Here is a 15,429-nt window from a genome sequence, read left to right as displayed (position 1 = left end):
AAAGACAATCTCAATAGGTTGCATAAGGTATGATTCTATTTATATAATATTATCACAGTGACAAAATATAGCCATGGAGAACATATGAGTAGTTGCCAGGGACTAGGTTGGGCTAAGGTTTGCTTTATAAAGAAATAAAATGAGGAAGTATCTTTGTGGTAGTGTCTTTTGCCCTGTTGAACCACAGCTGGCATCTCCCCAAAAGCAATGCCAGGTGATTTCCCACAAGGTAGTGCCCCAAACTGTCCAGACAGGGGGCTGGTTGGGGTTCCAAAGAGAGAAGCACTAAACGCTGAGTGATCAGTGCAAGGCATTTATTAAGGGAACATGCTTACATATGGCGAGAGAAAGGGAGTGTTCTGCCTAGGTACGTCTGCAGCAAGAAGGTCAGGGTAGGGAGTTCATATGAGATTTAAAGGAATTTGGCTCAGAGCCAGGGCCAGTTTCTTTGGGCAACAACCTAGATACATTTCAGTGCCTGAAGTCAGTACCTGAAAATGTTCAAGGCTCTGATTTAGGTTCAAACTTGCTGGGAAAAACCTACAGCTGTCTGTCTCACAGAGAAGTCAAGGCACTCTGTGTTTTTTTATATTTTTAAATAGAGACAGGGTCTCGCTCTATCACCAAGGCTGGAGTGAAGTGGCACAATCATAGCCCACTGCAGCCTCGACTCAACCTCCTGGGTTCATGTGATCCTCCTACCTCAGCCTCCTGAGTAGCTGGGACTACAGGTGAATGTCACTATGCCCATCAATTTAAAAAAAATGTGTAGAGATAGGGTCTTACTATGTTGCTCAGGCTGGTCTAGAACTCCCGGCCTCAAGTAATCTTCCTGCCTCAGCATCCCAAAGTGCTGGGATTATAGGCATGAGCCACAGTGCCTGACTCATTCTGTGATTTTTGATCAGGACACAGAAAGAAATCAGGGGAACTGGAGGACCCTACATAGTGGAAGAGTTCTATATCTTGATTGTGGTGCTAGTTACATGACTGTGTTTTAGGCGATAACATTTCATAGAACTACATAACCTGCACTGCCGCCCGCCCCCACCACAATAGTACATGCAAATACTAATGAAATCAAAATATGGTCTGTAATTTAATTTTATTGTACCAATGTCAGTTTAATTGCTTTTAAGATGTTATCATGAGGAGAAGCCAGGAGAAGGATATGCAAGTGTTATCTGTGTTAATTTTTCAACTTATTGTGAGAAACTGTTCCAAAATAAAAAGTATACATGCATATTTTTTAAATAATGAAAGTAAAAATCATTCGCTATGTATACGCTGGGAAAAAGTCACACAAATAAATAATTTATTAGAATTATGATCTGTTCTCAGTGGAAAAGCACAAGGTGTTAGGAGGGTGTTTCATTTCAAGATGAGAGTTAGGAAACATAATCTAGAACGTTAAGTTAGCTCGGCTCCAGCTCAGGGTCAGCTGCGGTCACGGTGAGGACAGAAGCTGCAGGTGTCTTTTTATCAGTGGAGCCCTTTGAGCTGCCTTTCCTGCTTTTGACCAACCTTGGCTGGAGCTTCGAGGGTCACTCCAGATTCCCTAAGGCTGCTCCTGCATCCCAGTGTCACTGCTAGAGTTGATGGAACTTCTAAACAACAGTTTTCCAAAGAAAGGCCACGCCTTCTGAGTTTCTACAGAAATTGTCTTTCTTACCAACTTAAGCATCATTTGAAGAATTCTGTCAGTATATACTGGGACAAAGGAGTAACAATGTTTTCTCTTGGTGGCTGGAATCAACAATATAAACTGCTGCTCTCCAATTTAGGAGCTTCATTTCCTTTAGTAGATGCTATAAAATGTGATTATATTCTAATAAAATAAAGTTTTATTTTCATCTGTCTTACAGTTATGAACAGGCTGCCACTTGTTCATAACAAAATAACCTTCATGTACTAAGTTCATATTGAATAGTGCTATATATTTTTCAATCCTTTTAACTGATTTCTGTCTTTGTATTTAAAGTGAATTTCTTTTGGGCAGTATATAGTTGGGTCTTGATTTTTTTAAAAGATAATCTGGTAACTTGTTTCTTAATAGGGGGTATTTAGACCATTTATATTTAATACAATTATTGATATTGTTGGGTTAAAATTTATAATCTTGTTTTCTATTTGTTATGTTTGTCCTTTGTTCTCTTTTCTTTCTTTTTCTGCTTTATTTTGGATTGAGTGTTATGTATAGTTCCATTTTATTTCCTTTGTTGGCTGGCTGTGACTCTTAGTAGTGATATTTTAGTGGTTGTTGACAGGTTTAGAATGTGTACCTTTAACGTATCACAGTCTACCTACAAGTGATATTTTACTGTTTTATACACAAAAACTTACAACAGTAAATCCCATTTCTTCCCTTCAGAGCTTTTTGCTATTTTTGTCGTATATTTTACTTCTTCATGTGTTATAAACCCCATGACACATATTTTTGCTTTAAGGTGTATTATCTGTAAACAAATTTAAATAATATGCAAAAGCCTTTATTTTAATCCATGCAATTAGCAACCATGTGATGATCTTCATCCCTTTGTGCATATCCAGGTTTCTGTCTGGTATCATTTTCCTTCTGCTTGTCAGACTTCCTTTAACATTTCTTGTAGTGAAAGTCCACTAGTAATACATTCTTTTGGCTTTTGTATTCTAAAAAATCTTTACTTCACCTTATTTTTGAAAAATATATTTGCCAGGTAGCAAATTCTAGACACAGTTTTTTCTTTCAGTGTTTTAAAGATGTTACTCTTTTGTATTGTTTCTGATAAAAATATTTTGTTATCATTATCTTTATTCTTTTGCATGTAATGGGTATTTTCTCTGCTTTCTATTGACCATTAGTATCAAACAATTGGATTATGATATGCTCTGTTGTAACTTTTTTCATGTTTCTTGTGCTCGAGGTTCCCAGATCTTGGTTTTATGGTTTTTCATTATATTTGGAAAATTTCAGCTATGATTTTTTTCAAATTGTTTTTCTAACCCTATCCTTCTCCTTCAGAGATTCCAATTAATACATTTGGCACCTTGACATTGTTTCATAGTTAATTGATTTTTTATTTATTTGTTTTCTTTGTCTTTTTTCTCACTGAGTTTCGTTTTGCATAGTCTTTATAGCTGCCTTTAAATTCAATCTTTTCACCAGGAAATATCCCCATCCAGCTTGTTTTTCATCAAAAGCATTGTAATTTTTATCTTTAGAAATTTTAACTGAATTTTTCAATATCGTCTGTGTTTCTCTTACCCAGGCCCAATCTTTCTGCTAGTGTCTTTAACATATGAAATATGGTTATAATAACTATTATAATGCCCTTGTCTACTAATTCGATCACCTTGACATCTTTAGGTCAGTTTCAACTGACTGACTTTTTTTCTCTCATTATGGACTCTATTTTCCTGCTTCTTTGCAAAAATTATTTGCAGTAATTTTTGACTGAATGCCAGATATTTAAAGATTTACCATGTTGGTTGCCAGATGTTTTTATATTAATATAAATATTCTTGAACTTTATTCTGGAACACTCCTAAGTTACTTGGAAAAGGTTTAATCCTCAAATCTGCTTTTATGCTTTGTTGGTGAAAATCGCAGCATTTAGTCTAGGGTTGATTGTTTCCCACTACTGAAGCAAAATTCGTCTCAGTATTCTACCTGATAAATTGTGAGATTTCCACTCTGGCTGTTGTGAACAGGCGCTAGCATTATTCCCAGCTTGTGTGACCTCCAGGCACTGTTCCCTCTAGTCCTTTCAAGTGGTTTTCTCCCTGGCTTCCGCATGAAATGATTCGTAGTCAACTGAATACTTAATGGGGAAAACTCCTGGAATTTTCTCTCCGTGCGTCTCTCTCCTCTCTCATACTCTTCCTGCAAATCCTAGCAGCCTTGACTTTCCCATAATCTCAGCTCTGTCTCCTCATTTCAGACTTCTAGGTGCCAATGTGTAGCATTCTAAATTAACATTCATGAAACTGATAAGCTTACGTGTCAAAAAGCTCATATGGCCTAATATCTGAAATGACTTGGTTTCCACTTAAATTTTTCCTCTTTTCATAAATGTAGGGAAAAGTTTATCTACCTGGTTAATGGGGTTCCTTGGGCCCATGGCAGGAATACAAAGATTCCACCCATTTGACGGGGCCTGGTTTAAAAGCAACTCTAAGACCAGGAGAATGTGCAGAGCCAAAGAAGAGCAGAAAGCCAAAGGCTAAGCCAGATTGGTCCTAGCCATAGGAAGCCGGATACCCAAGCAGAAATGGCCAGCAGATGTCCTTTTCTCAAGGAGACTGTCCCGGGCACTCTTCCTCTTCCCTGATAGCATCAGGCACTCACATTTTTCATAGGTTTCATCTCTCTGTATCCCCTCTATATTTTCTATGGCCTCTGGCCTATAAATTTTACGAAGACATCAATTACATCTATCTTGTTTATTGTCGTCTCACTCGGTCCTAACATACTACCAGGTTCAGAGAAGGTGCTCAACAGACATTTGTTGAAAAAATGCATCTCCTTCATGAATTATTAGAAGAAAAGTCAAATTGCTTCTGAGACCAATCTCATTGACCTTCTCTGTTGCATTCAACAGAATGATTGCTGCAAACTTCTTTCTGCTTCATACTTTTCTCTCCTGGTTATGTTGTCTCTCATCATTGTTTCCCAATCTTTCAGTTTTTCTCAAACCCTGTCCACTCCTTATATCTGGGCTGGCAAACTCAGTAACTGTGGTGGCCAAGAAGGTGATGTGAGCAAGCATTCTTGTTGATTTTAAGAAAATTTGAAATAAAGGAATCCTTAGCCAAATGGGAGAATACAAGTCTCAAGTAGAGGCTTCAATATATTTTTTAACTTAAACAATTCTGAGCTGGCCATAAATATGTTTTTTGCAATTCAGCAGCTTCCAGGCTTAAATGTCAGTGCTCTTCAGCATTTCATTTTCTCCTGAGGGTTCAACATTATTTGTATCTTGATAATTCCTGGCCTCCAAACTGGACTAGACATAGCAACTTGGAGTTATGCATTCATTTCAAATGTATTATATCCCCAACAGAACTCATCTTACTCTATAATTCTTTGTTCTTATCTATTTCCTGCTTTAGTGAATTGGCACCACAGTGTTCTCATTCACATAGCCATAAACTTGGAATTATCATAGATTTCATTCATTTATCCAGTCCTCACAATCTATCTGTCCCTGTGTCTTAAATGCTTCCTGCCATACTCACTGTTAGAGGTTTAACTCAAGTTCTTCTTATCTCTCATCTGTTCTTTTACCGTATTTTCCATTTCAGTGACCCCAAAACCTGGAAGTGAGGGAGAATTACCTGGCGTATTTTGTAAAAATAAATATTCCCAGTCCCCACCTCATACCCATTGAAGCATGAGAGTAGAGGATGAACCTAGAGCATTCCCAAATGATTAACTAACCAATGTGGTGGGTTTTTAAAGATACTCATCAGCCGGGCATGGTGGCAGGCACCTGCAGTCCCAGTTACTTGGGAGGCTGAGGCAGGAGAATGGCGTGAACCCAGGAGGCAGAGCTTGCAGTGAGCCAAGATCGCACCACTGCACTCCAGCCTGGGCAACAGAGTGAGACTCCGTCTCAAAAAAAAAAAAAAGATACTCATCAGTAGTCTGTTTTGTTTGTTTGTTTGTTTGTTTGTTTTTGAGATGGAGTTTCACTCTTGTTGTCCAGGCTGGAGTGCAGTGGCATAATCTCGGCTCACTGCAACCTCCGCCTCCCGGGTTCAAGTGATTCTCCTGCCTCAGCCTCCCAAGTAGCTGGGATTACAGGGGCATGCCACCATGCCTGGCTAATTTCTGCATTTTTAGTAGAGACAGGGTTTTGCCATGTTGCCCAGGCTGGTCTTGAACTCTTGATGTCAGGTGATCCACCCACCTGGGCCTCCCAAAGCGCTGGGATTACAGTCATGAGCCACCGCGCCCAGCCCTCATCAGTAGTTTTATTGTGACATCGTATCAGTATGCATTCCTTACATAAGCCCACTGACGCCCAGGCTGCTCTCTTCTTTTGTCTTTCTAGAAAGTGCAGCACTCTAATGTGACAAAGAGAGACCGCGGCTCCAGTTTCTGCAGTACAGCCCAGAAATGTCTCAAGCTCACGAGACTGTACAAGTCAAAATGCAAATTGAGAGCCAGTATTATGAGTTAGAAAATTATCCAGCTAAGCTCTTCATAATTGAAAACCTAACTGCAACATGAGTAATACAATTATATTCCTTAAAAATTTATCTTTTTCATGGCTTGGACAGGTGGATTGTTATGGATGGATTGCTTAAAATAAAGCTTTCCTTTAGTTTTGCTGAGAGAATTTTAACCTAGTAGTGGAAACAAGTGACAAGGTGCAGCTGAGAATTCTCTACATTGAATGGAGACTCTGCTCAGGGACCGGTGAAAATCCCCCAGATACAAAGAAAATAGCTCTCTGTTTCGTTGAACCAACACTTGATCATCTCTAACAGGAAAACATTCTCTAAAAGAAGAAAATTTTTATAAGTAGAGGGAAAAAAAGAAAACTAAGCTGTTACAAAATTTCTCCATAAAGCTTCTGCTTATGTAAAATATATATATATATATACTTTCAAAGTGACAGTGCTGATTGTCAACTCCAGGTTTTGGGACCGAAGTTGTCTGCGGGTTCCCTGCGGCAGCGCAGCTATAATTGATGAAGAGGCGCCACCGTGTGGCATGGACGAAAAATGACTCGAAGTGGTGACAAACCAGTAAATAGTTGTCACCTTTGTTTTCTTGCCTTTGGAACTATTGAACTCATTACGACTTCCCCGTTTCATCTCCATCCAAATGCAATAGATGCTTGGTGTAAACATTCCTTTTTCAGCCCCTGGAATCTTCTGGGATAAGACAGGACACAGAGCTGTTTCTCAAAGTGAGAATGTTTGCTTCTTTCGGAGTGAATTAGGAGCACAGTGCCCTCTTCTGGTAGATCTGGCACTTTGCAAAGAGAGTCGTAAATTCTTTCCTAAAACAACCCAAAGTAAGACTTAAAAGAAGGACTTCAATATTGCCATATGGTTGGGTGGACATTTGAAGATCTGCATAGGAATCTCAAATGCAATACTAATGGGATTTACTATTATTATTACATAATAAAGACAAGAAATGTTATCTTACTACAGCTTTTTAAAGGAAATTTGTTAGGAAGTATTGCTTTTGGACCCAAACAGTGTTTCCTTCACAGTGTCTTGTGTACATTCGTGGAATATATTGAAAAAAGTGACATGGCCACATATTTCTATTCACTTCAAACTGAAACAACTAAACAAACAATAAAATGCACCCAAATTCATTATTCATGTCCATTTGTAAGAAACGCTGCTAAATTAAAATTTTCAGTCTCAAGAAACTGAATGCTTGGCAAGTGTCTGGCATAATGGAAACACATTGGCACCATTGATTTTTTAAATAAATAGGAAGCTTCGCATTATATTATCTGTCTTCAAGAATTCAGATATGGTCCTTCTCATGAAATAGATGGGTTAGGCAATGAAAGCTGCGCACATTAATTTCTATATTTTAAGTATGCTTAAAGGAAGTTTATTACACTAGAAGGTAAAGCCCTTGTTTTCCAGGAATGCACTGACTACTGACTAAAGAAGCAGACAACTACCTACTATATTTTATTTTTTAAAAAATGAATCAGATTGTTCAACAAAGTGAATTTATCTAATAATAAACTACATGTTAATTTAGTTTTCCCCAAAGGAGATATACTTCTATGGCTAATTTTGTTATTTTCTCAACTTTTACAATAAAGAGAGTATAAATGAAAATGTAACTAATATAAAATTGTTTGCATGTTATGGCCATCCTATGACGCTTATTCCTGCCTTCTGAATAGTTATATAAGGTAGAATTTTGAGATCATAAGACATCCAGAGATGAGAAGTTTCCTTTTTCATTTAATTACCTTAGTACACAATCTTCAGAACAAAGTAGGTGACATTGACTTCTACACTAGGGGACTGCTGTTAGCCATTCTGCAGTGTTCTGGGAGCTATTTAGGACCTGGAAACTGGCAGACCAATTCTGGGAGGATCAGATTCTGCAAGACAAAATACACATAGGAAATTGCTAGAAGAGAGGGTTTTGAATGTTCCCAACACAAAGAAATGATAAATATTTGAGGGGATGGAGTGCTAATTACCCTGATTTTTATCATTACACATTGTATACATGTATCAAAATATCACGCTATACTCTATAAATATGTAAAATTATTATATGCCAATTAAAAATAACAGTTAAAAATTACCCATAGGATTTTGCTTCCTCAAGTTGAGGACTCTGAGGTTGAATTTAAGGCACACCTCACATAAGAATAATTTAACTTAGGGCCATGCATGGTGTCTCACACCTGTAATCCCGGAAGTTTGGGAGTCTGAGCTGGGTGGATCAACTGAGGTCAGGAGTTGGAGACCAGCCTGGCCAACATGGTGCCCAGTTTCTACCAAAAAAATTCAAAAAATTAGCCGAGCACAGTGGTGCACGCCTGTAGTCCCAGCTACTTGGGAGGCTGATGCAGGAGAATTACTTGAACCTGGGAGACAGCGGTTGCAGTGAGCTGAGATTGTGCCACTGCACTCCAACCTGGGTGACAAAGCAAGACTGTCTCCCCACAGGCCACCCCCCGCCCCCCAAAAAAGAATACTTTAATTCAGAAAGAATAAAGCATGCCAAGAGTTAAATTTGCCCTTTTCCACAGAACAGATGGTGCCTGTTTCTGGGACACAAAGCCAGACAAGAGTTTCTTAATGTGTTTTTCTCTTTGGTTTTAATTTGAAGGTTCTAGAAAGATGGTAGTTTGAAACTTTCTCCCACACTGGTCAGGTTTAATACCTGACTTTCCATTATTCCTTTCATGCAGTGAATCTGATACTCTCCTATAAGCTCAGCATATTCCAGGTACTTAGAGAACGGTAGAGCAAGGGGAGGAAATATTCAATCTGTTTTTCAAGATTTATAGTCTGGTCAAAGCAATGTCTCCATATAAGAAGCAATGAGGCACAGTAAAAAATGAAATACATTGGCTGTCCTGCAAGCCAGGGGAAGGAATGGAGTTCTACCCAGTGAGTGTTTTCCAAGGCCACACTTTTCACGTCCATTTTCTCTTTCAACCCTGAAAAGTCTGTAAGGAATTTCCAGACATACAAGTGTATGATGTGAAAGGTCACATACCAGTCAGGCAGAGAATCTGGAATAATAATAACAAAGATTCTAATGATATAATGCAATAGGGTTTGGCTGTGTCCCCACCCAAATCTCACCTTGAATTGTAATAATTCACATGTGTCAAGGGCAGGGCCAGGTGGAGATAACTGAATCATGGGGGCAGTTTCCCCCATACTGTTCTCATGGTGATGAATAAGTCTCATGAGTTCTGATGGTTTTATAAATGGGAGTTCCCCTGCACAAGCTTTTTCCTACTGCCACGTAAGACGTGGCTTTGCTCCTCCTTGCCTTCCACCATGATTGTGAGGCCTCCCCAGCCATGTGGAAGTGTGAGTCCATTAAACCTCTTTCCTTTATAAGTTGCCCAGTCTTGGGTATGTCTTTATTAGCAGCATGAGAACAGACTAATACATTGTGATAATAACTAGGAGACAGACTTTATTGAGGTTAATTTACATGACATTTACTATACTATATAACCATCCTATGAGGTAGGTACAATTATTTTTAATGTTGTAGATGAGAACACTGAAGTTTAGTGAGATTAGAAAATTTCTCTTTATTCCTTCCTCCAAAATAATAAAGAATACTCAGTGAGGATTTAGACTCTGTTCCATCTGAGCATTAGATCCATGTTCTTGGGTCTCTGCTAGGATGCTCTCTTGTCTGGACACTGAAGCCCACAAGTCAGACACTACTGCACCATCTTCAACATTTCTTCTCCGACAGCATGAACCATTATGCCAATAAGAGTTCGGGGGAAATCCTAGAGGCTGAAAAGTTATTTGGATCAAGACACAATATCTTCAGGTGCTTTCTGTTCCAAACCAAATATCTCTCAAAGGTTTAATTCTTTAGCTAGTGTTTCCCACTGGTCACCAGAAAAGAGATCCCTGGCCAAATAAAGTTTGCAACATTGCAACAGTTCAGCAACATTAAAAAGACGGTGTTATTTGTTGTTTTTAATTTTAGGAATTTTCAGTATCATTAAATAGTGATAGCACTATAAACTGTAATACTACTTAATTGTAATACTACTACTTAATTCTAATACTACTTGTTAACATTTGTTGCACATATGTGATACAGCAGGCATTTTGCAAAACATTTAATATAGGGCACCTAATTTAGTGCTCACAAAAATAATAAGAGGAAGAAACTGTTATTAGCCCCCATGTTATGAATGAGAAAATGGAGGCAGAGAAGTTAAGTAGCTTGTCCAGGGGAAGAACTACCTGTGATCATTATAAATCTCCATATGGCCTGGTGTAAGCTTCAGTTCACAGTTCAAATTTCCCAAGCATATTTGAATTTTGAACCCTATTTGCTACAGTGAATCATGAGATTAGTTTCTTCAGGAGATACTTCGATAAATGCCACTGTTAACAAGTAATACTAATATCGAGAAGCACCCTGTTGCCAGCCCAGTACTGAATGCCTTGAATAGAATATTTAATTACTCCTGGGATAAGAGTATAATCTTTTTTAGGATGAAAAAACAAAGTCTCAAAGCAGGTAAGAGATTTGCCCAAGATTAGGAGGCAAGTGAGGAACAGCGCTCCCCAGGCTGTGCCTCTGAGCCCATGTCACTTTCTCTCCTGCCACATCGCTCTACCGGCAGCCATATTGTTGTGCTTTGGCCCAACTTCCTGCTTTCTAGGAAGCGGAATATTGATTTGAAGAGATCCAGAAAGAGACTAGAGCCCTGGAGAGGAAGGATCACAGAGCATGGGAATGTTTTGTCAGCAGAAGGCAAGACTCTCTGTGGGTCTGCATGGGACACAGGAGAGAGGCTGGTAATGGAGAGGGGAGGGCACCAGGGCCAGTCTTGACCAGACGGCAGGAAATCACCTCAGGCCAAAGGGATTGTGGGTGAGGGGAGGAGATCCAAAGTGAAAAGTTTGTGCTGGGGCTTGGAGTCAGCCTGGGGTAAGTGAGGAAATTCCTTAGAGGTCTAACATGACTTTAACAACCTCTCTGAGGAGACCAAATGCCATTCTTAGGGAGCCTGCAGGACCGCAACTGCTATCCCGTGGGGCAAACTTCCTGCCTGCCGGCCCCAGCTGCACCAGGCTGTGTGGGAGAGGGGGTGCCTCTGAACTGGTCTCAGAGGATCCGGCTCCTTCACTGCGTTCTCCCTGAAGAAAGCTTATTGGAAAGGAAGGCACCTTTGTCCTAGAAGGGCAATATTAGGAGGACCTATAGATAACAGACACAAACACTGGGAGGCTTTATTTCCGTGTTAGCTTTCCTAGGACTCAGGGTGCAAACACCAGATAGCTAGCGCCCGTAGAGGAAAAATTCACAAAAAGAACCTTTCTATTTGTGGTTCACACCTGGAATTACTGGAGTAAAAAGCTCTGTTCACTGAAATTTCCACTATTGGCTCATTACTAATGAGTTACACATTTAAGACACAACACGTATAAATCCTTCAAGATGCCAAAGACAACTTGCCCCAGGGATAGCAAGGAAAGCAGTGTGCTGAGGAAGGAACGGGGAGCTCTGCTGACGGTGTTACCTCCCTAGCCAGGACTTGAGGAACTTCAGTTAATTTTAGCACATTTGCTAGTAGGAAACACTGTGTGTCGGGGGCACCTCTCCTGTCCAGGCTGGAATGTGGCTCCGGAGAGGAGAGGAGACCCACTCATTTGGTCTGGCTGGCTGGTGAAGAAAAGGAACAGAATGTGCTTCTTCTGCAGCCGCTTGGACCCTCCTGCCACGGCACTAACTGTTCAGGGTCTTTTCCAGTACTATTAATATTCTGGAAAATTCCCTGGCTTATAAAATTGGAGAGGTAAAAACTTTTTCCTTTTCTTACAGAACTATGGAAGAGCAGGAGTAAATCACGTCATGACCACGTTTCTCAAACTGGGCATTACAAACCCTCACAGTGATTGTGGTAGAATAGAGACCACCATTATAAAACAGTGAGAGGGACTTTGGACAACTGAACTGACTTCCTTCAGCTGTATAACCAGTTCAAGAGATAGGTTTTCCTAGCTGGCTGGAGCTCCACAGCTGAGTCTAATCTATACTCTTCAGGAGAAATTAGTTCTTTAATTAGCGATGTCTGCTATGGGTGTTGGTGCCAATGGTGTGATGGCAATCATGTTATTTAGCAAACTTAATTTTAAACCATCCTGTTGAAAAGAAGCCTTTCCTAATGCTTAGGAAGACTTTGAGGTCACCCCAAATTTGTAAGGAGAAACATAAACAGAACAGGACAAAGATTAAGAGATTTTGAAATTTACTCCCATATGATGTATTAAGAGGAAAACAGAGTACTGAAAAAGCTTTTTAGGAAGTGATGCCATATAAATTTTATTCAAAAGCATTTACATGAACATATTTTAATTGCAGATGGATGTACAATGGCCATTATATGTATTATAGTTGACAGATTTTTCAAAACAAAAATATTTTTATTGGTAGTATTCCATCTATAATATTAGATTCACTACTGAATATGATGTAAACTTCTTCAGTGATGTAGTTACTTATCATCAGCTGGTGACAAAATGTTACATTCTAAGTTGATTATTCTGCTCTACCTTTTTTGTCTCATTAAACTTTGTTTTAATAGGTCTCAAAATTCTGTGATAGATTTTTAGTCAAGGTGTTTCCGTTAAAAAGTAATGATTTTAAGAACTAATAAAATTGCCACATGAAAACAAAAACAAAATGGTCTACAAAACATTCTTTCCTTCTGAGGTTTTATGATGCATTGTTTATTAACCAGTCTTTTACTGTTAAACTTAAGTGGCTAATTGAAACAAACAGTTCTGAGATGGTTCTTCCACCATTGATTAAGACTAGGGTGCTGACGTGAGAGGATCACTTGAGCTCAGGAGTTTGAGACCATCCTGGGCAACACAGCAAGACCTCATCTCTACCAAAAAAAAAAAAAAATTAGCTTGGTGTGATGGCACAGGTTTGTGGTCCCAGCTGTTTGGGAGGCTGAGATGGGAGGATCGCCTGAGCCCAGGAGGTTGAGGCTGCAGTGAGCCGTGATGGTGCCACTGCACTCCAGCCTCGGTGACAGAGCAAGACGCCATCTCAAAAAAAAAAAAAAAAGACTAGGGTGAAAAGTATTAGAGATACTGTTCATTTAGCCTTCTGAACTTCCCAGGCAGACTCAGTGACTTTGCCAGCTCCAGCAGCCACTGCTCTAATGACACTTCAGCAGCTGTCTATCTCATATCATGAACAGCAAAATGACCTGGAGGAGCATAGTCAGAGAAGCTCTCAACACACCTAGGCTTGATAGGAACCATATCAACGATAGTTTTCACCCAATTTCGAGAATTTAAGAACCATCTTCCAGTTTCTTACAAGAACATCAGTCAACCTTTTCCTTCAGCTCAGCAAACTTGCAAGCAATGTGCGCCGTGTGACAATCCAGTACAGGGGCATACACAGCCAGCGTGATTCACCCTGGAGGATGCAGGATAATCACCGGAGCAGTGAAGCCTGCTGCTTCCACAGGTGGGTGGTTTTGCTTTCATCAGTGATGTTGCCACGACGAACAGCTTTGCCAGACACATTCTTGACATTAAAGCCCACATTGTCTCCAGGAGGAGCCCACTCAAAGCTTCATGGTGCATTTTAACGGACATTACTTCAGTTGTGATGTTGACTGGAGCAGAGTGTTTACGCTACTGGTTTGAGAACACCAGTGTCCACTTGGCCCACAGGGATAGTGCCAATATCCCAAATTTTGTAGACATCCTGGAGGGGCAGACGCAAGGGCTTGTCAATTGGATGAGTTGGTGGTAGGAAGGAGTCCAGAGCTTCAAGCAGCATGGTTCCATAGGCATTGCCATCTTTACCCTAAACTTTCTATCCCTTAAACCAAGGCCTGTGATCACATGGCTCCAGCATGTTGCTACCATCCCAACCAGAAATTGGCACAAATGCCTCAGTGTAAGGGCTGTGGCCCATTTTCTTAATGTAAGTGCTGACTTCCTTAGCAATTTCTTCATGTCTCTTCTGCTATAGGGTGGCTCAGTGAAATCCATTTTGTAAACAACAACAATTACTTGTTACACATCTGGCATGCAAGCCAGAAGGGTGTGCTCAGGGGTCTGCCCATTCTCAGAGATACCAACTTCAAATTCACCAATGTCAACAGCGACAATCAAGGCAGCGCATTCTACCTGGGATGTGCCTGTAATAATGTTTTTGATAAAGTCTTGTGATGGTCACATAGCACTTGCTGGTCTCAAATTTCCACAGAGAAGTATCAATTGTGACACCACGTTCACACTCAGCTTTCTGCTTATACAAGGCCCAGGCATACTTGAAGGAGCCCTTTCCCATCTCAGCAGACTTCTTATCACATTTTGCAGAGGGTCTCTTGTCAGTCCCACCACATGTTTAGATCAGTAGGGGTGGACTTGCCCAAATCTACCAGCCCAATGATGACAATATTGATGTGAGTCTTTTCCTTTCCCATTTTGGCTTTTAGGGGTGGATTTCACAACATCTGTGTTCCTGTAGCCAAGGAAAAGCTTAACATTGCTTTGGAAAGCAGCGTCTTTTCTGACCTATTTTACTTGTACTTGAAATTTATCTTTTAGAAAAAAATGACTTACATCTAATATTCTGATATAGTATGATTTTTAAAATAGCTTTATTGAGATATAATTCATATATCATATGATTCACCAATTAAATGTGCAATCTAATACTTTTGGTATGAAAAAATATACATTTTTGAAAGCCAATACATCAGGGTTTTTTTTAACCTTAAAACAACATGTGCTATAAAACAAAACAACTTCCTCTTCCCACCTCCTCTTTTCTATTCCAAGAAGAAACAAAGAAACAAAATATGTTTTCTGCAGGAAGGTGTGTGTGTGTGAGACTGTGCATGCATGTGTGTGTCCTCATTAGAGGAAAAACAGAAACTGTCCATTTCTATCAACTATTCAGAAACAAAAAAGGATAAGCTTCACAAGCAGGAGCTTGGAGAAATAAGGAGCAATATTATTCTAGAAACCATCTTTTCTGTTTGTTTTTCAAGATCTGGAGAGGTCCTGCATTTGCTGCCTGACATCCCACTCCACATGGTCTTCCAGAAGGAGCCACAAAAGGTAGGAAGTTGGAAGCCAGCCTTGAAAAGGGAAAGGAAAGGACCCAGCAAGGAAGGAAAACTAGTGGCCAGTGATCAGCTGTGTTTACCCACACTGAGCTTATAAATACAACCTAGGCAATACCTCGTG

The 15,429-nt window shown here is 39.8% G+C and overlaps 1 pseudogene; it reads right to left on the bottom strand.

Annotated features, from left to right (window-relative positions):
- Nucleotides 13,278-14,708, bottom strand: EEF1A1P36 (eukaryotic translation elongation factor 1 alpha 1 pseudogene 36; annotated as a pseudogene).

The sequence above is a fragment of the Homo sapiens genome, chromosome 6, assembly GCF_000001405.40.
Source record: "Homo sapiens chromosome 6, GRCh38.p14 Primary Assembly".
Classification (NCBI taxonomy): Eukaryota; Metazoa; Chordata; class Mammalia; order Primates; family Hominidae; genus Homo; species Homo sapiens.
This window is presented reverse-complemented; position numbering and strand designations above follow the sequence as displayed.